This window comes from Homo sapiens, chromosome 1, assembly GCF_000001405.40.
Source record: "Homo sapiens chromosome 1, GRCh38.p14 Primary Assembly".
Lineage (NCBI taxonomy): Eukaryota > Metazoa > Chordata > Mammalia > Primates > Hominidae > Homo > Homo sapiens.
In genome coordinates, this window is record NC_000001.11 from 19301866 (window position 1) to 19320201 (window position 18336).

An 18336-nucleotide genomic window follows, 5' to 3' on the forward strand; every position below is an offset into this window, starting at 1 on the left:
TATTTTTTGTAGAGACAGGGTTTTGCTGTGTTGCCCAAGCTGGTCTTGAACTCCTGGGCTTAAGTGATCCGTCCGCCTGGCCTCCCAAAGTGCTGGGATTACAGGCGTGAGCCAGTGCACCCAGGTGGGTTTTCTCTTTTATTAAGTTGTAAGAGTCCTATAGCTAGAATAGATACAAGATTCTTAACAGATATGTGATTTGCAAAATACTATCCCATTCTTGGGTTGTCTTTTCACTTTCTTGATAGTGTTCCCTGAAGCACGAACACTTTCATCTTTGATGGTGTTGACTTTACTTTTTCTTTTGCCACGTGTGCTTTTGGTGTCAACATCTAAGAAACCACTGCCTAATCCAAAGTCACACTTGACTCAAGTATTTTCTTCTAAGAGTTTTATAGTTTACCTTATACATTTAGATGGTGATTCGAGTTAATTTTTTGTTTATGGTATGGGGAAGGGGTCCAACTTCACTCTTTCACAGCAGGACATCTGGATGTTGGTGAAGATGATTCTTTTCCCTATTGAACTGTCCCTATTGAGTTGTCACTCAACTCTAAAATCAGTAAGAGTTTATTTCTGGACTCTCAGTTCTGTTCAGTTGCTCTATTCTTATGCCAGAACCATTGTCTTTATTACTGTAGCTTTGTAGTAAGTTTTGAAATCAGAAAGTATAAGTCCTCCAACTATGTGTTTTTCAAGACTGTTTTGGTTCTCCTGGGTCCCTTGAATTTCCATATGAGCTTTAGGATTAGTTTGTCAATTTCAGTATTAAGAAAAAGTCAGCTGGGAATAATAGGAATTATATCAAATCTTTTGATCAATAAGATTTTTTTTTTTTTTTTTGAGATGGGGTCTGACTGTGTCACCCAGGCTAGAGTGTAATGGCATGATCTCGGCCCACTGCAACCTCTGTTTCCGGGGCCCAGGCGATCCTCCCACCTCAGCCTCCAGAGTAGCTGGGACCACAGGTATGTGCCACCACACACAGATTAATTTTTTGTATTTTTGGTAGAGACAGGGTTTCACCATGTTGCCCAGGCTGGTCTCAAACTCCTGAGCTCAAGTGATCTGCCTGCTTTGGGCTCTCAACGTGCTGGGATTATAGCCATGAGCCACTGTGCCAGCCTTGGATTTTATCTTTTCAAGCAACTTATTAGTGTGGTTTGTTGTGCAAAGATAACTGATACACCATTCCACATGGGTGAGCATCTGTTTTGTTACGGGTAAACAGAAAAGACGGTGACAACATAGGGAGATCTCCACTCCACAAAAAAAATAAAAATAAAAACTTCTCGGGAGGCTGAGGTGGGAGGATCCCTTGAGCCCCGGAGGTCAAAATTGCTGTGAGCAGTGATCATGCCACTGTACTCCGGTCTAGGTGACAGAGCAAGAGCCTGTCTCAAGAACAAATAATAAATATAAATGAAAAAGTAAATTTCCAGGTTGGGCCTCTTTCATTGCTTCAAGAAGCTGCTCCAAGTGCTGCCTGCTGCCCTGCCCATGGCTGGAGGGATTTTGGTGCACTGGGAATGCAGCAGGTTCAGCAACCACTGAACCAAGGATTCTTATTCTCAGCCTTGGTGCCTCCTGTTTGGAGTAGGGGTTTCCAAGGGAAATGAGGACCTTGGCTGCCTATGTCTGTCCCCATGCCGAACAGGAGGCCCAGAGCCAAGACTGAGAACCTAATGGGTGAAAAGACAAGAGGCTTTAGTTAAGACAAGAGGAGGCTAAGATTGAGAGCTTCAAGATGTTCCACAGATCCTGGGAAGTGTTCTTCTTCTTGGTAGTGACTCTAATGGTAGTTTCTTTGTCCCAGTTGTTTCATTCCTAAGAATGTATTGAGGCAACTCTGAATTAGAGAAAATGTACTGCAGGTGTATGACTCTCTTTTCTATCGTGTGTAGAAGAGTGAGAGACACCTCAATGTTGAGAGGTCAGGTGGGTATTCAGACCAGGGGCCCGAGGAGACCCTGGGAGGGCAGTGTGCTTCTGTGACCCTCCTACTACCTCTGCCCTCTGAAGACTCCAGCCCATGGTTCTGCCCTTTCTCAGTCCCCAGGTAGGATGGGAAACAAAGTGTTAACAGCAGAGAAAGCAAGTTTTTGGGGTTCACTCAAGACCTAGGCTACAGCCAGGTCAAGTGCCTGCTTTATTCAACAGGAAGCGCTCAAGTGGGACTCACCCCCCACCTTTCACAGTGTAAAGTGAATAGGGAGCAAGGCAGGAAGCTAGAAAAATAATGCATGGATCTAGACAATTCAGAAAAACCCTTCTAAGTCAGCTTAAGGCCAAGACTGGTCAGTGTGAGAGAACAAAAGAGGTGACAGAAAAGCCTTGGGCAGCCTGAGCCATGATGGGCCTAGCGGAAGTAGTTGGGACATTCGTGAGCAACCAAATGCCAGGCTTGATTAAAGGCATCCACGACAGCCGGCTCCAGGGGCCCTTCCTCTGTTGCTGCCAAGTTCTGCTCCAGCTGCTCCAGGCTGGACATGCCCAGGATGACCGCGTCCCCGTGGGCACCCTGCAAGGGAGACGGCCAGACTTCAACCCTCTTCTGCTGCACAGCGACTCCACTCACAGCCGTCCCAGCCACCTCCCTGCTGAGATCTGGGGTCTCTGTTTATATTTATATCTTGTATGTCCAGAAAGGACTTAAGGTGCCTTGGATAGCTGTACCCACGTGACTTGAAACCCGCATCCTTTCCCCTACTGCCGCACGACGCTTCCACACAGAACTACATTCACAGCCCAGTTCTGCCCCCAGCAGCTGTGTAAAAATGGCTAAGTTGGCTGGGCACAGAGGCTCATGCCTGCAATCCCAGCACTTTGGGAGGTCAAGGTGGGAAGAACACTTGAGCCAAAGTGTTCAAGACCAGCCTGGGCAACAGAGAGAGACTCTGTCTCTACAAAAAACAACAAAACAAAATTAGCCAGGGGTGATGGTGCATGCCTTGTCCCAGCTACTAGGGAGGCTGAGGCAGAAGGATCACTTGAGCCCAGGAGGTTGAGGTTGCAGTGAGCTATGAGTGTGCTGCTGTTCTACCGCCTGGGTAACAGAGTGAGACTCTGTCTCAAAAAAATTAAAAAGCAGGCTACGTTATTAAGCTTGTTTTGACATTCGATCTTTTTTTTTTTCAAACAAAAATATTTTTCCTTGTGTTTTGTACACAAAAGGGGGTGGGAGGTAGTGCGGTGTGGTGGTGGCAGCGGAAAAATATGGAACACTTCACAAATTTGCGTGTCATCCTTGCGCAGGGGCCATACTAATCTTCTCTGTATCATTCCAATTTTAGTATATGTGCTGTCGATGCAGGCATGACATTCAATCTTTTTCTCTGTTTTCAGCATTGGAATGAGAAAACTTATGTAAAACACAGCTCCCACGTACTGAACATCTACCGGATATATGCCAGACACTATGCAACATGGAAGGCTGAAGCTGGAGATAAGTTTGTTGCTGTTATTTTCATTGTTGTTTGCTTGTTTTTTTTAGACAGGGTCTTGCTTTGTCACCCAGGCTAAGGTGCAGTGGTGTAATCTCAGCTCACTGCAGCCTTGACCTCCCAGGCTCAAGCCATCTTCCCATCCCAGCCTCCAGAGTAGCTGGGAACGTAGGAGCAAGCCATCACAACCTGGCTAATGTTTTTGATTTGTTGTAGAGATAGGGTCCCATTTTCTTGCCCAGGCTAGACTCAAATGCTTGAGATCAAGCAATCCTCCCATCTCGGCCTCCCAAAGTGCTGGATTACAGGTGTGGGTCACTGCCACTGATCAGGAAATAAGTTTTAACCAGGAAGACATGAGGCATCAAGAGAGAGAAACCAAAAGGGTGAGATGGGTGGGTCTTAGTTAAACCTGTGTTAAAATGTCTGCCACTTTAATAGCTGGGTGAACCTCGGTTTCCTCATCAATAACACTGGGATAATCATACTTCAGAAAGCCTAAGGAATAAGAAAATCCCTGTAATGAAAATCCCTCACTACAAAGCCTCCACTCAGATACCATCAAAGACCAGTGGGAAGAGTGCTTATGAGAATTGGAAGAAAGAAAAATTTCAGAGGAATTCAGAAATCAAATGCTTTGGGCTTCACCTAAAGGTGACGCTGGTCCCCCTGGAAGGGAAGAAGCTGAGCACCCAGGGTCGCTGGTTACCTGCAGCTGTGAGTGGTGGTACATCCACCGGAGGGCAGCCGAGGTCACACTGGGGGCGCTGGCGCCATATGCGGCCTGCAGGGCCTTCTCCACCAACGCAATGGCCTCGAAGTGGTGCTCCTTCCAGAAGCTGTGCAGAGGGGATGTTAGCACAGGGGTCAGTACCATGGGGGTCACACTGGGAGCCGCAACCAAATAGCCATCCAGGACCACTGCCCCACCCCACACCCTGCAGCCCTGAGGGGCGGGTGTCCTCTCTAGTCATAGGTCTCCCACTTTGCTGGGCATCAGAACCACCCAGGATGCTGGGCCCCTCAGCAGAGACCTCAATGGATCTTTACTCCTGAGGACTCAGTAGCCTAGGGACTTCCCTAGGGACACGAAGGCTGCTCAGATGGGGCAGGATTCCCTCCTGGGCTCTCTTTTTGCTTTTTGATACATGGTCTTACTCTGTTGCCTACACTGGAGTGCAGTGGCATCATTATGGCTCACTGCAGCCTCAACCTCTTAGACTCAAGTAATCCTCCTGCCTCAGCCTTCCAAGTAGCTGGGCTACAGACAGGTGTGCACCACCACACCTGACCACTTTTTTGCATTTTTTTTTTGTAGAGACCATGTTGCCCAGGCTGGTCTTGAACTCATGAGCTCAAGTAACCCTCCCACTTCGGTGTCCCAAAGTGCTGGGATTACAGGTGTGAGCCACCATGCCTGGCCCATCCTGGGCTCGCTTTTTGCTTCCCAGCAGGTGATTGCTCAGGAACGAGCTATGACTTCAAGACCCCAACATCCAGGGATCCTCATTTCCCCCCCAGAGGTCTCAAGACAACAAGAAAACCCACAGAGGGCTTGGGAATTCCTGAAGCAATGCAGGGGAGGAGATGCAAACAGCAAAGGAAGGTCTTACCTCAGGAACAGCCCAGGACTTCATTCCACATAGATTTGACCCCACCCCAGCCATCCTCACCAAGCCCACCCCCGGCTCACCGATTCCTGTAGGTCTCAGCCCAGCTATTCCCAAAGAAGCGGCCCACAGGCTGTTTCCCGTCCTTGTCCTCATACTTGTACTTGCCAGTCAGCAGGCCCCCTGCGGGAAGGCAGCAATCAGCCCCTGGCCCCAGAGTGCCCCAGAAGCTGCCACATCCCTCAGGGCTCTGGTCTAGGGGAGGGGCAGGGACCCAGGAGGGGCTGAAGAACACAGCCCAGCCTCTTGTCAAACCCTCCCTGCTTCATAAATTCTGGGCTGGGCATCTGTGGGTCAGGAATAGGCTGAGACAGGGTCAGGAATGCTCCACGTACCAGCCAGAGGGTTGTAGGCATAGAACCTCAGTCCAAAGTGCCTGAGGCAGGGGAAGAGCTCCGTTTCCACCTGCCGGGTGGTGGCGTTGTACATGCCCTGCAGGGAGAGGGACCCCGGGGACAGGGTGGACATGTCAAGAGAAGGAACTGTTGCCTTCCACTTTCAAACCTCTAAAGCAACACCGGCCCAGGACTTCAGCAATATTCTAACATCACTACTGTTAGTAGGGGATGGAGGGAAGGTGTTGGGCCCAAGGACAGAAAATTGAAGTGGAATGGTATCTTTCCACAAATATCTGCTGTATGAACTCCATGCTGGACACTGGTTACAACCACAAGTAGGTATCACAAAATCCCTGCTTCCAGGAGATGTTTACTCAAGTTTAAAAAAATAGACAAGGAAGGCAGTTAATTACAATAAAGTTAGGTTCTACAATCAAACAAGGAGCTGGAAAGTACTCGCTGAATGTATGAAGATGAGATTTGGAGACTGGAGACTCCTATGGGGCTGTCTAGAAAGGCTTCCAGAGGAGGAGACCTCTATGTAAGGCCTGAGTGCTTCTCCCAGGGAGGAGGGCAGGGGAAATGTGTTCCAGGCTGAAGTATGAAAGGAGGTGGGGAAGGAAGGGTCCAAGGTGCACAGATAGGCAGGAAGGAAGCAGATGCCCAGTGGCCAGGCTGAGGAGCTTGAATGGCATCCTGAGGGTACATGGGAGCCATCTGCAGGCTTTCAGCAGGGGAGTGGCTGCTATGCAGACGGCACAGGGGGCAGTCAGGGGGGCAAAGAGAGCCCAGGATTAGCAGGAGTCCTGGAGACCTTGGCCTCTGCAGCCCCGGCCCTCACCTGGTACACAGTGGGCAGGATCCAGCCATTGCTCTTGCAGAGGGTACAGATCTCGGCCACTTCCCAGCTAGCATAGTTGGAGAGGCCAAGCTCCACGAACTTGCCCTGCATGGGTGAGGCTCCAGTCAGAACGCAGTGTAGCCCAGACCAGGAAGGGGAGGCCAGGGTGGGGCCCCAGGGAATGGGGCTATTCCCTGCCCCACCCTGGGACTGCCCTGGTGCCTCTGCTCTCATGAGTAGGATCAGGATAAAGAAAGGAGCAGGAGCCCACCTTTGGAGCTCGGAGGGCCCCCTCACCTCCTGGTGCAGCCGCTGGCAGGCATGCAGCGTCTCTTCCACCGGGGTGCCGTGGTCAGGTGCGTGTAGGTAGAAGAGGTCCACTTGGGGACACTGCAGCCTCTTCAATGACGTCTCCAGCTGGGACCGGACACTGTCAGGCTTTAGTGATTTTCCATCCCAAGGGTTGGCCTTGGTGGCAATTTTCACTTGGAGAGAGAATGGAATGGTTAAGTGACCTATTAGAGCCATTTGCTAACCATGTAACCCTGGCTAAATTACTAATATTCTCTTGGCCTCAATTGTATGATCTGTAAAATGGGGTGATAATAATCAAACTGTCCTCATTGGGAGGTCCTGGGGATTAAATAATGTCATATATGTGAGTTCTCAATGTTCACCTATTAGAATAACTATCATTAGTCACCAACCTGCTGGCTGTGCCAGGCCTTGCACTAGAGACTGAGTATGCAGAGATGAACTGAACACAATGGATCTCTGCCCTCCTGGAGCCCTAGAGGATGATGGTACAATATGGTAAGCACAGGAGGGAAAGGCACACGATGCCAAGGAGCCCAGATGAGATGCATGAAGCCAACTTGGAGACTCCAGGGAAGGCTTTCTCTAGGGGATCACTCCCAGAGTCCCAGCCAACAAGGAAGAGCAGGAAGTACACTCCAGAGCATGGGAACCCATGCAAAGTCAAAGAGGCAAAAAAACACTATGTGAGGCTCCAAACCTTCAAGTCTAAGTTATAAGAGCATAAATTCTAGAGCAAGGAGCAGTGGGACGTAGGACAAGAGACAGGGACAGACCTCATCCCAAAAGTTCTTAAATACCATCCCACTGAATCTGAACTTGATCATTCCAGATTTTGTCAGGGTGTGAACCGGTCACCTGTGTTCACACTTGGCTGCAGTATAGAGAAAGAAGTCAAGGGGGCAGGCCTGGAAGAGTTTAGGAAAGCGAAGCAGCCACATAAATGTGGCCCAGTGGTAGAGATCAACTTGAGAGCTTAGAAGGCAAACTGAGCAGAATGTAATTATAATTCTCCCCTCCCCTTCCTGACTCACAGAAGCATGAGCATATATCCAAACACTGTAGGGACACATCGCTATGACAACAGTGTTCTGCATCCGAGCAGCTTGGAAATGAGTTAATTCTGCACTATTCTTTCCCCTATAAAGAACCCCAGCTGTTGGTCCAGATGTAGTGGCTCAAGTCTGTAAACCTAGTTTGGGAGTACTTTGGGAGGCTGAGTAGGGAGAATTACTTGAGCCCAAGAGTTTGAGATAATCCTGGACAATGTAGCAAGACCCTCCCTCTACAAAAATAAAAATTAAAAAAGAACCCCAGCTGGGCCAGGAAAGGTAGCTCACGCCTGTAATCCCAGCACTTTCGGAGGCTGAAGTGGGTGGATCACCTGAGGTCAGGAGTTCGAGACCAGCCTTGGCCAACATGGTGAAACTCTGTCTCTACTAAAAATACAAAAATTAGCCAGGCGTGGTGGCACGTGCCTGTAACCCCAGCTACTTAGGAGGCTGAGGCAGGAGAATCACTTGAACCTGGGAGGCAGAGGTTGCAGTGAGTCCAGATTGTGCTACTGCACTCCAGCCTGGGCGACAGAGTGAGACTCTGTGTCAAAAAACAAAAAACAAAACAAAAAAAAAGAACCCCAGCTGTCTGGATTGGTTGGGGGATGGATTCTGCACTTTTCATACTTAGCAAAGTCAGCTCAGTAGCTCAGAAGGGTGTCACGAGATCAGTTGGGATATGGGACAGAACAAGTTCCACAGTTTCTCATCCAGATTTTCTCCATTTCCCCACAACGCCCCAGGCATTCTTGGCATGAACTGTGCCTCAGGCCTGGCCTGAGGACTTTGGTTCAGTGAGCTCCTGGCCCCAAAGACGGAAGCGGGGAAGGGTTAGAGAAGAAAAACCAACTCAGGAACAAAATCTTCATTATTAATAGTATGTAACGTGGCCGGGCGTGGTGGCTTACACCTATAATCCCAGCACTTTGGGAGGCTGAGGTGGGCAGATCACTTGAGGTCAGGAGTTGAAGACCAGCCTGGCCAATATGGTGAAACCCCATCTCTACTAAAAATACAAAAATTAGCTGGGCGTGGCCGTGTGCACCTGTAATCCCAGTTACTTGGGAGGCTGAGGCAGAGGTTGCAGTGAGCTGAGATCGTGCCATTGCACTCCACCCTGGGTGACAGAGCAAGATTCCGTCTCAAATAATAATAATAACAAAAACAACAACATGCAGCCAGGTGAACTAGAAACAGCGTGGGCCTGAGATTCACATTTGCCCTCTTTTCCCCCCGACCCCCCAAGCGCTATGACTCAGGAGGACCCAGAGAGAACCTCTCCTCAGGGGTGGGGAGCAACAGCCTCAGGATAGTCCAGTGGGTGAAGCATGGTAAGGGTAACAGCCCACGTTCCCTGGGCCCTCACTGAGTGCCAGGCACCCTCCCAAGGGCTATCAAGGGCACCAGGCTCACGAGGGACAGTCCCCTCCATCCTCCACTCAAGCCCCACCTGCCCAGTGGCCTTCCTTTCACACATCACGCACATTGCATTTCCAAACCAAGTCTTTGCACAGACTCTAATGTTCCTTTCTCTTGTTCTCCTCCAACCTACCATTGAGCCTTTAAGGCTGAGCTCCATCCAGCATTTGCTGAGCCTTCCCTAGTGCCTCTCCCCGGCCTGCAGCTCCCTAAAGTACTCTCTCTTCTGGGCTCTCCAGCAATCATTACTTCAATCTTCCTCATTAGACTCTGAACTCCCTGTGGAGGGCTGGAATCACTTTCCCTCCTATGGCCCCAAGTCAAAGCCTGGCATAGAGTGGATAGAAAGTCCCTACACCCTGACCCGTCCGCACTCCCTAACACTCCTACTCTCCCAGCCAGCCTTACGGCATCGCCACAGTTCTCCCTGAGAGAGGCAGAGGTACTGCCAGCTGCACAGGTCAAATTCTAGTGGTTAAGAAAAGGCCAGGATGAGAAAAGGGTGCCCAGGGTGTGCATGCGTGATGATGGTAACGAAGGGGTAGAGAAAAGGGGGAGAGCCTGGGTGGGGACCGGTTGTGGGCACCTGGCAGGTTTGGAGGCGGGGGCATCAATGGAGGTGGGAAGCGATGGGTCAGACCAGGCTGGGGGGAGACTCTCGCGCTGCAACTCCCAAGGGAAGGAGAGTGGGGGAAAGGAGTCAGGGCAAAGCACTGTCTAGTTGTCCCGGGGTTCCCAGAGCTGCGGGGTGGACCTGGGGTGGGGAGCGAGGGACGAATCCGTCGGTGCTGCCCGCGGCCGGGCCCGAGCGGGGTGGTGCACGGCTGGGGACAGGCTCAGCTCTACACGATGCATGGGGAGGATCTGCAGCTACTGTTACCTCTGCAGTCGCCACCGCCCAGCCCGAGCCCCAGGCCGCCCAGGATGGTCTCGGACTGGCCGTCGCTGTACATGAAGGCCGTGTCCAGTTCGGTGTGGCCGCGCTCCAGAAAGGCGCGCACGGCCGCGGCGCTGGCGGGCGCGTCCATGCGGCGCCCCATCTCCATGGTGCCCAGCACCGAGGCGACCCGCGGTGGCGGTGGCCGGGACATGGCGAGCGCGCGGGCCTCGGGCGGCGGAGAGCGAAGCGCGCAGTGGACGGCGGCGCGGGAGACTACGCGAGACGCGGCACTCAGCATAGCAGCGGCGCCTGCGCGTTGGGAGCCGGGGGCCCCGCCCATGCCGGGGAGGAGCGCGGAGGCAGTTGGGGGCGGGGACAACAGGCGCGGCCCCAGCGGCGCCTCCAGGCCCGGTCAGCCCAGCGCGCGGCGTGGGGGCGGGGCCTGCGGTTCCCGCGGGGGCGGTGGCGCGCGGTCAGCTGACCCGGCGGGCCTTGACCCAGAAGCTGGGCCCTGGCGGCGGATCTGGACGTGGTGAGCCGGACCGGGGGCAGGTGGCAAACTTCACGGCTGGGGGTCGGGGCTCCTGGGCTTCCCTGCCACATCCTTCCAGCCCTCTCCTCCGGCCGCTGGACTGTCCCGGCTCCTGCGCCCTCCTTGTGGCGCGATATCGTGGGACGAGGCTCCGGGCCGGGACTGGGTGGCCCTCGGGAATCCGCAGCCAGTGGCCCCCCACCTCAAAGGCGACCAGCGCGGCCTCTCGAGCTGGCCTGGCCAGGAGTTGCCCTGCCCCGGCCGACCGGCCCCTTGGCATCTGATGGCTTCGTTTTTCCCGGGCCGGCCGGGCGAGGGGCCCTCGCGGCGCTGGCCCCAGCAGCTGTCCTATCATTATCCCTCCAAACAGGCGGCCCGCGCCGGGCTGAGTCACCAGGAGGGAGCTGTGGCCGAGGACGCCGAGGCCTGGAGTGGGTGGTAGCCCCGAGCTGGGACGCTCCTCCCTCCACAATCTCCCCAGGTCTGCAGGGACCGAGGGCCTACACTGCCTCCTCCCACGCCGTGCTTAGGGTAGGTTTCCAAACGTGTAAATGGAGAGTCTGAGTCTGGAAGTGTGAGGGGTCCCGGGCCTGGGTCACAGGTCATGTCTAATCAACGCTTACTGAAGGCGCCTGTGTGCCCGGACGCTGGAGGGGCTACAATGAGAACAAATAATAGTCATTTTGGGCTGTTGGTGTTGAGTGCCAGTGCCAGGCACCCTTGTAATCGCTTGGCCTGGATTGTCTCATTTAACTCTGCAGTCAGCCTAGGTGGTGGGTATTGCATTATTCCCCTACTTTTCAGATGAGAACTACGAAGCTCAATCACTTGAGTTCCAGACTGGTAGGCATCGGGCAGGTCTGTTCCAGAGTGCTTTTCTCCTCAACCCTGGGCTGTTCGAGCTCACAGCTTTCTCCCCTTCCTTTCTCCTTTCCTTCCTCTTCTCTCTCTTCCACCCTTTCTCCTTTCTCACCCGTTTCCTCTCTTCTTCACTCTGTCCTTCTCTCTACCTCTCTCTTTCTCTCACTGTCTCTCAACATTTGCTGAACCTCTAGGTGTGTTTACACCTGGAGAATAAGAAATGCACAACCCAGGGTGGGGAGAGTACGTTTCAAAGACAGTGGTCGCAGAGGACGGTGGTAGCGTTCTTCAGGTGTGTGGACAAGGGGAGAGGAGGAGGTGGAAGGTCCTGTCCAGCCAGCTCTCATGGGGCATCTTTGAAAGGGCAATTTAGAAGTGAGTCTTCTTATCTCATGACCAGGCCCTTGAAGGGGAGCAGGACACTTCTAGGGGAAGAGATGGCACGTGCAGAAGCCTGGAGACCTGAAATGACTGAAGACGTGGGTCAGGAGGCAGGAGATAAGGTTGGGAGGGCAGTTCTTGGAGTAACTTGAGGCCTAGCCTCAGGTAATTTGGACTTCATCCTGTAGACAAAGGTGGACACATGATTGGCTGTGATCATGTGCCCGAAGCACCCTGACTCAGCTTGGGATCAGGGAGAGGAGTTTGGGTGTGGCAGGAGATGTCATCTCCAGCCCAACCTTTCTCAAAGTGCACTAGATGGAGCAGAATCGCTGGAGGGCTTCTTAAACCCAGAATCTCTAAGCCCCAGCCCAGGTGCACTGACTCCAAATTTTGAACATGCACCCTCCAAGGGTGATTCCAGGGTACCGCTTCTGGGGTCCTTCCCATCCCTGCAGGTGAGGTCAAGCTCCATTGCAACCTTGGACATCCATTTGCTCAGAGCTGTTTGAACAGGATGTGGGCCCATGCCTGGCTTCTAGGTGACAGGAACTACGCAGGATGGCCCTCAGAGCCAGGCCTTTCTGTTCAGGGATCAGGTGTGTCTCAGAGTGTCCCGAGCTCCACATTGCACATGGGTCCTGTCCAAGGTCAGGGGGACACCCACCCAGTATCCTGGATCCATAAACCAAGGTACCTTCCTCAAGACAACTCCCCAACACGCACGCATACTGGGGTGCATCCATTTCATTTCCTCCTTAACCTAGGGAAAGGGGGAAGTGAGAGAGAGGCCGCAGGGGCCATAAACCAAGGTACCTTCCTCGAGACAACCCCCCAACACACACATGCTGAGATGTGTCCATTTCATTTCCTCCCTAACCTGGGGAAAGGGGGAAATGAGAGGGAGAGTCCCCAAGGTGGTTGAGATGCTGGACTCTCATCCTGAAAACAGTCGCTGCCATGTGTTGTCAGGCACAGGGCTGAGAGCTTTATGTGCATTTAGTCAGGGCAGCTGCCCCAAGGAGTGAGTGTCGTTAGCCCCATTTTATGGACAGGCTCAGGCAGGTTAATTCACTTCCAGGGCTGCTCAGCCTCACCTGTCAAATGAGCACAGTATACCCAACCTTGCTGGGGAGTGGTGAGGATGGCAGTGGATGAGCTGCAGCCTTGTGTTCAGACTCTGCAAGGGGGTGTGGGGGTGCACCCCAGTTGGCAGTGGTGGCTGAGAACATGAGGACTTGATTTGAAATGCCTTTGGCCTTGCAAACGTGTAGTTCTCACCTGGACTATATGGTTTTTTTTTTGTTTGTTTGTGTTTTGTTTTGTTTTTGAGAGTCTTGCTCTGTCACCCAGTTGGAGTGCAATGGCGCGATCTCAGCTCACTGCAACCTCTGCCTCCTGGGTTCAAGTGATTCTCCTGCCTCAGCCTCCTGAGTAGCTGGGATTACAGGCACGCACCCACCACGCCTGGCTAATTTTTGTATTTTTGATAGAGATGGTGTTTCACCATGTTGGCCAGGCTGTTCTCCAGCTCCTGAGCTCAAGTGATCCAACTGCCTTGGCCTCCCAAAGTGCTGGGATTACAGGTGTGAACCACTGCGCCCGGCCACACCTGGACTATATGTTAATTTGGAGTGGCCTTTCAGGGGCCGGAGATGGAGCATCAGGTGAAGGCTTCCAACATCATCTGTGCTGATGGTCCCCCAGGTGGGCCACGAAGACACAGGGAAGAGGCTTTCAGCCTCCCTGCCTGTGCCAGGCCCTGGAGGTAGTCCAGTGAGCTGGGCTGACAGTGACCTGGGGCACCCTTACCTTTAGGTCCAGGGTCTCTGCCCACAGCGAGTCACATTAGGGCTGAGGGTCTACGGCTTCCTGAGAGGAGGTGCTGACTCACTTCCTTTCCCTCCCGGTGCTCCCTGGTCTCTGTGTCCTCAGCAGTTCCGTGGGGCCAGCCAGGGACTAGCTGGGGAGCCCAGGCCTCCTGACACAAGTGGGAATGAAGGCAGCTAGAGACAGCCCCCACCTGGATGAGGAAATCCCCTCTGAGCACAGGGAAAAAAGAGGAAGCCCACTTTCTGGCTGTGCAGTCATGCCAGACCACAGAGGCTTCTCTGTCTCTCTCTCTCCCTCCCTCTCTCCCTCTCTCTCTCTCGAGCCACAGAAGTCTTCTGCTTCGCTGGTGACAGATGGACCTGAGGCGGGTGGTGTGGCAGGTGGCTATGAGCAGGGGTGTAGGTCTGAGTCTTGGGTTTGACTCTGTAGTTTCCTGGCTGGGTGGCGCTGGCACATCACTTCCGCACTCTGGCTCAGGCTCCTTGTGGATATCAGTGGTCCCCACTTCATAGTTGCTGGGAAGATGCAACATGAGTGCATGCAGGATGCTTGGCTCACCGGTCCGAGCTGTGGTGATGATCACTGATGGAGATGGCCCAGCCGAGCCTCACTTTCCCTCCCTCCTCTAAGGTGTCACGCAGGCAATGACTGCTCTACTCACTGTCCAGGGTGCCCGGGTAGCGGGAGAGGCCTGCCCTGCCCACCCCTGCGATCAGCCATATTCTGGCTTTGTCATTGTGACGGTGGGGAGGTGGCTGTGGACTCCCTGCTGTTAGGCATCCCCCCCACACTCTGTGAGCTCCTGGGAGAATACAGGCTGCATCGTCCCAAACTTGAGTCCTTGTCATTCATGCAACCCCGGGGATCCCTTGCTCCTCTTCTCCACTTGCCTCATCTGTGTGGGGCAACTCTTTATGGTTTGTGTGTGTGTGTGTGTGTGTGTGTGTGTGTGTGTGTGTGTTTTCTTTTAAGACAGGGTTCAGCTCTGTCGCCCAGGCTGGAGTGCAGTGGCATGATCATGGCTTGCTCTGCAACCTCCACTTCCTGGGCTCAAGCGATTCTTCCACCTCAGCCTCCTGAGTAGCTAGCTGGGACTACAAGCGTGTGCCACCACACCTGGCTAATTTTTGAATTTTTCATGGAGACAGCGTTGCCCAGCCTGTTCTCGAACTCCTGGGCTCAAGTAATCTTTCCCACCTCAGCCTCCTAGAGTGCTGGCACAGTGCCCAGCCCTTATTTTGTTGTTGTTTTGACACAGGGTCTTGCTCTGTCATCCAGGCTGGAGTGCATTGGTGTGATCATGGCTCTCTATAGCCTGTACCTCCTGGGCTCAAGTGATCCTCCCACCTCAGCCTCCTGAGTAGCTTGGACCAGAGGTGCACACCACCATGTTTGGCTAATTTTTGTATTTCTTTTCTTTTCTTTTTCTTTCTTTCTTTCTTTCTTTTTTTTTTTAGAGGGAGTCTTGCTCTGTCACCTCTTTTTTTTTTTTTTTTTTTTTTTGAGATGGGGTCTTGTTATGTTGCCCAGGCTGCCAGGCTGGTCTCAGTCTCTTGGGCTCAAGCTGTCCTCCCGCCTTGGCCTCCCAAATTGTGGGGATTACCGGCATGAGCCATCATTCGTGGCTACAACCTGCTTTAAATTAGATGAACTTGATGGGCCTGGCCTCAGCAGATCCTTAGAGAGTAATTTACAATAATAACAAGAAATTAGGAATACCCTAAGTGTTCAAGAGTCATAGGAAAAGGTAACATCGAGGGCTCAGTTCAACACACTGTGTATGAACTCACTGAACCCACACAACAGCTGTATGTGGGAGGCAGCACTGTGATGACCCCATTTACAGATGAGAGGGCTCAGGCACAGAAAGGCTGAGTCTTTGCCCAAAGTCTAGCATGAATGGGTGATGAAGCAGGGATTTGAACACACCCGTCCCTTCTGCAGATCCAGCACGCTGCCTGCATGTGTCTGTAGTTGGCGTGTGTTTGCTGTGATCTGTGCACCTGGGAGCTGATTGGGTCCTGGTGGGTGAAGATTATGTCTTTGCCCTTCTCTGGCTCAGGGCCAGGAGCCCCGTGAAAAGGCTGGGATGAGCTTAGTTTGGGATGACCATGAATAGGACCTGGACCTCCCAGTGCTGAAAGCCTCCTCCCTTCCTCCCTGTAGAACCCTTGCTGGCCTCAGAACACCAGCGCCCTCCCTCCGGTGCAGCCCTGCCTGGCCGGGGGCCCCTCCTCCACAGCCATGGTCTGGAAGAAACTGGGCTCCCGCAACTTCTCCAGCTGCCCCAGTGGCTCCATCCAGTGGATATGGGATGTGTTGGGTGAATGTGCCCAGGACGGCTGGGACGAGGCCAGCGTGGGCCTGGGCTTGATCTCCATTCTCTGCTTTGCTGCATCTACCTTCCCGTGAGTAGTGTCTTGGTGGCAGGACCAGGGCAGGGCTGTGGGGTTGAGGCAGTGGCTCCAGCTACTGCTCAGCGAGGGGTTGTCTGGTGGGCCACGGGCCTCTCCAGACTAGAGGCTGGGGTGTGTTCCCTCGACAGGGACCTGCACTGATTGCTACCGCAGGTCAGACCTAGTGCTGGGCAGTGCTGATACAGAGATCATCACCTTTGCAACAGTTTATTGAGTGCCCACCATATACCTGGCTTGCTTCTAAGCACTTGCCATATTTCTACCTCATTTAATCCTCACAACAACCTTGTGAAACAGGGACAGTTACCATCCATCTATTTTATAGATGAGGGATCCAAAACCCAGAGAAGTTAAGCAATTTGCTTTAGGTCACACAGCTGGTCAGAGATGGGGCGGGAGAGTGGGAGGGCTGGGATGCGTCAAACACAACCTCTGTCCTCCAGACTTTGACAGTCTCGTGGTGGAGACAGCAGCAGTGAACACAACATTGTGTGGCCGCTGCCATGATCAGGGAGTGAGGACATGCTGCACAGGGGTCAAGAGCATCTTGACCTGGGCGTGTCACCTCACTGCTCTGAGCCTCAGTTTCCTTGCTTGTGTCATGGAAATATTGTTACCTAACTAGATGGTTGCTGTGAGGATGGCATGAGGGTGTGTAGGGAGAGCTGCCCACTCAGGGCCTTCACACAATGTTTGCACAAGCCTGAAAGCTGTCAGTGGTGACACTGCTAGTATTTCATTACATGAAGCACAGAAGAGGGACACCCACCTGATCTGCAGAGGCGGAAGAAGATTACAGTCAGGAAGGACCTGGAGGCCAGGCACAATGGCTCACGCCTGTAATCCCAGCACTTTGGGAGGCCGAGGCAGGAGGATCACTTGAGGTCGGGAGTTTGAGACCAGCCTGGCCAACACAGTGAGACCCCCATCTCTACCAAAAAAAAAAAAAAAATTAAAATTAAAAACAAAAAAGAAGGGAGTTGGAGGTGTTGGCCTCTAGGCTAAAAGCCAAGGATAGGACAGCATTGGGGGTGAGAGCCAGGGGCTGAGTGTGGAAGAGCAGTTCAGGCAGAGGAAGCAGCAGATGTACAGAGAAGGGGCAGCTGCGTTTATATAGTGGACAGAGTGTGTGGGGGTCAGGGAAGGGAGAGGTGAGGTCACAGGAGTCATCAAAGGCCCTGTGGCCTAAGCGGCATGCTCTGCTCTTAAGAAATGTGCTCTTTATCCTAAGGGATAAAGACAAGGGTTTGATCAGGGGCTTGACATTGTTTTAACAGCTTTATTGGGAGAGAATTCGCATTTCATGCAATTAACCCATTCAGTGTACAGTCATTGGTTTTAGTATAGCCAGAGTTGTGTAACTGTCACCACAACTAATTTTAGGACATTTTCGTTAGCCCAAATGGAAACCCATGCCCATCAGCAGTCATTCTTCATTTCTCCCGGAACCTCTCAGTCCCTGCCAGCCACTAGTCTACTTTCTGTCTCTGTTGATTTGCCTTTTCTGGACATTTCATGATTCATATAAATGGAATCACACAGGACCTGTTGTGATTGGCTTCTTTCACTTAACATAATGTCTTCAAGATTCATCCATGTCATAGCATGTATCAGATCAGTACTTCAGTCCTTTTTGTGGCCGAATACTGTTTTACTCTGTGTATAGCACATTTGGTTATCCATTCATCCATTGATGGACATTGGGTTGTTTCTACTTTGTAGCCATTATGATTAATGTTGCTGTGCACATTCATGTTTTTTTTTTTTTTTTGCCTGGTGCAGTGGCTCACACCTGTAATGCTAGCACTTTGGGAGGCTAAGGCGGGCAGATCGCCTGAGGGCAGGAGTTCAAGACCGGCCTGGCCAACATGGTGAAACTCCATCTCTACTAAAAATACAAAAATTAGCGGGGTGTGGTGGCGCGTGCCTGTGGTCCCAGCTACTCGGGAGGCTGAGGCAGGGGAATTGCTTGAGCCCACCAGGCAGAGGCTGCAGTGAGCCAGGATTGCACTACTGCACTCCAGCCTGGGGGACAAGAGAGAGTCTCCGTCTCTTTTCTTTTTGAGACAAGGTCTCACTCTGGTCCCCCAGGCTGGAGTGCGGTGGTGCAATCTTGGCTCACTGCAGCCTCTGCCTGGCGTGCTCAAGAGATTCCCCTGCCTCAGCCTCCCGAGTAGCTGGGAATACAGGCATGCGCCACCATGCCTGGCTAATTTATGTATATATTTTTGGTAGAGCTGGGGCTTCACCATGTTGCCCAGGCTGGTCTTGAACTCCTGAGCTCAAGTGATCCTCCTCCCTCAGCATTCCAAAGTGCTGGGATTATAGGTATGAGCCATGGTGCCCGACCT

General features: G+C 52.5%; 2 protein-coding genes, 1 long non-coding RNA gene and 1 pseudogene across 17 annotated transcripts in view, besides 8 other annotated features; 2 read left to right on the top strand and 2 right to left on the bottom strand.

Annotated features, from left to right (window-relative positions):
* LOC124903867 (uncharacterized) overlaps nucleotides 1–3483 on the top strand; it is a 17289-nt gene extending 13806 nt beyond the window's left edge. The window contains exons 2-3 of the long non-coding RNA XR_007065521.1: nucleotides 13–968; nucleotides 3346–3483. This is a non-coding gene — a long non-coding RNA (uncharacterized LOC124903867). The remainder of the gene's footprint in view (nucleotides 1–12; nucleotides 969–3345) is intronic.
* On the bottom strand, nucleotides 843–10281 carry AKR7A2 (aldo-keto reductase family 7 member A2). Of its 3 annotated transcripts, NM_003689.4 has the most exons (7): nucleotides 9962–10279; nucleotides 6590–6777; nucleotides 6293–6397; nucleotides 5449–5545; nucleotides 5137–5236; nucleotides 4153–4282; nucleotides 2100–2521 (listed from the first exon to the last, which is right to left on the bottom strand). In NM_003689.4, the coding sequence occupies exons 1-7, from the start codon at nucleotides 10257–10259 to the stop codon at nucleotides 2360–2362; spliced, it is 1080 nt and encodes a 359-aa protein (NP_003680.2). In that variant the 5' UTR covers nucleotides 10260–10279; the 3' UTR covers nucleotides 2100–2359. The 3 variants fall into 3 exon arrangements, with proteins under 3 accessions (NP_001307908.1, NP_003680.2, XP_047289051.1); NM_001320979.1 differs by lacking the exon at nucleotides 6293–6397 and having other exon boundaries at nucleotides 843–2521; nucleotides 9962–10281; XM_047433095.1 differs by lacking the exons at nucleotides 2100–2521; nucleotides 4153–4282; nucleotides 5449–5545.
* Nucleotides 3212–3316, bottom strand: RNU6-1099P (RNA, U6 small nuclear 1099, pseudogene; annotated as a pseudogene).
* Nucleotides 9870–10369: an enhancer, noted in NCBI's record as "H3K27ac-H3K4me1 hESC enhancer chr1:19638229-19638728 (GRCh37/hg19 assembly coordinates)". NCBI's record gives its function as "activates a minimal SCP1, AML or CMV promoter by ChIP-STARR-seq in primed H9 embryonic stem cells {active_cell/tissue: H9 hESC(primed)}" and the evidence as "EXISTENCE:reporter gene assay evidence [ECO:0000049][PMID:30033119]".
* Nucleotides 9870–10600: a biological region, named in NCBI's record as "H3K27ac-H3K4me1 hESC enhancer GRCh37_chr1:19638229-19638728".
* Nucleotides 9961–10600: a silencer, noted in NCBI's record as "silent region_352". NCBI's record gives its function as "represses an Ori minimal core promoter by ATAC-STARR-seq in GM12878 lymphoblastoid cells {active_cell/tissue: GM12878}" and the evidence as "EXISTENCE:reporter gene assay evidence [ECO:0000049][PMID:35858748]".
* Nucleotides 10461–18336, top strand: part of SLC66A1 (solute carrier family 66 member 1) — a 22138-nt gene continuing 14262 nt past the window's right edge. For 6 of the 13 annotated variants that reach the window (NR_109848.2, XR_007061310.1, XR_007061311.1 and 3 more), the window contains exons 1-3: nucleotides 10461–10493; nucleotides 10864–11024; nucleotides 15735–15976. Coding sequence is in view for 5 of the 13 variants with exons in the window: in NM_017765.3 (NP_060235.2) it covers nucleotides 15813–15976 (164 nt within the window). In the remaining 8 variants the exon portion in view is untranslated. Of the gene's footprint in view, nucleotides 11025–15734; nucleotides 15977–18336 lie in introns of all 13 variants that reach the window. The other 7 variants (XR_001737253.2, XR_001737254.2, NM_001040125.2 and 4 more) reach the window with 3 other exon arrangements.
* Nucleotides 10681–10770: a silencer, noted in NCBI's record as "silent region_353". NCBI's record gives its function as "represses an Ori minimal core promoter by ATAC-STARR-seq in GM12878 lymphoblastoid cells {active_cell/tissue: GM12878}" and the evidence as "EXISTENCE:reporter gene assay evidence [ECO:0000049][PMID:35858748]".
* Nucleotides 13584–14083: an enhancer, noted in NCBI's record as "H3K4me1 hESC enhancer chr1:19641943-19642442 (GRCh37/hg19 assembly coordinates)". NCBI's record gives its function as "activates a minimal SCP1, AML or CMV promoter by ChIP-STARR-seq in primed H9 embryonic stem cells {active_cell/tissue: H9 hESC(primed)}" and the evidence as "EXISTENCE:reporter gene assay evidence [ECO:0000049][PMID:30033119]".
* Nucleotides 13584–14164: a biological region, named in NCBI's record as "H3K4me1 hESC enhancer GRCh37_chr1:19641943-19642442".
* Nucleotides 13995–14164: an enhancer, noted in NCBI's record as "active region_298". NCBI's record gives its function as "activates an Ori minimal core promoter by ATAC-STARR-seq in GM12878 lymphoblastoid cells {active_cell/tissue: GM12878}" and the evidence as "EXISTENCE:reporter gene assay evidence [ECO:0000049][PMID:35858748]".
* Nucleotides 16557–16747: a silencer, noted in NCBI's record as "fragment chr1:19644916-19645106 (GRCh37/hg19 assembly coordinates)". NCBI's record gives its function as "represses an EF-1alpha promoter that drives an FKBP-Casp9 reporter gene in an ReSE screen in HepG2 liver carcinoma cells {active_cell/tissue: HepG2}" and the evidence as "EXISTENCE:reporter gene assay evidence [ECO:0000049][PMID:32094911]".

Excerpts from the sequence above, each read along its gene's own strand:
- AKR7A2 (NM_003689.4), bottom strand. The coding sequence starts at position 10,259 with ATGCTGAGTGCCGCGTCTCGCGTAGTCTCCCGCGCCGCCGTCCACTGC. Across the intron at positions 6,778-9,961 it reads GGGCGGTGGCGACTGCAGAG|TGAAAATTGCCACCAAGGCC; the intron begins GTAACAGTAGCT and ends TCTCTCTCCAAG. Across the intron at positions 5,546-6,292 it reads TCCTGCCCACTGTGTACCAG|GGCATGTACAACGCCACCAC; the intron begins GTGAGGGCCGGG and ends CTCTCCCTGCAG.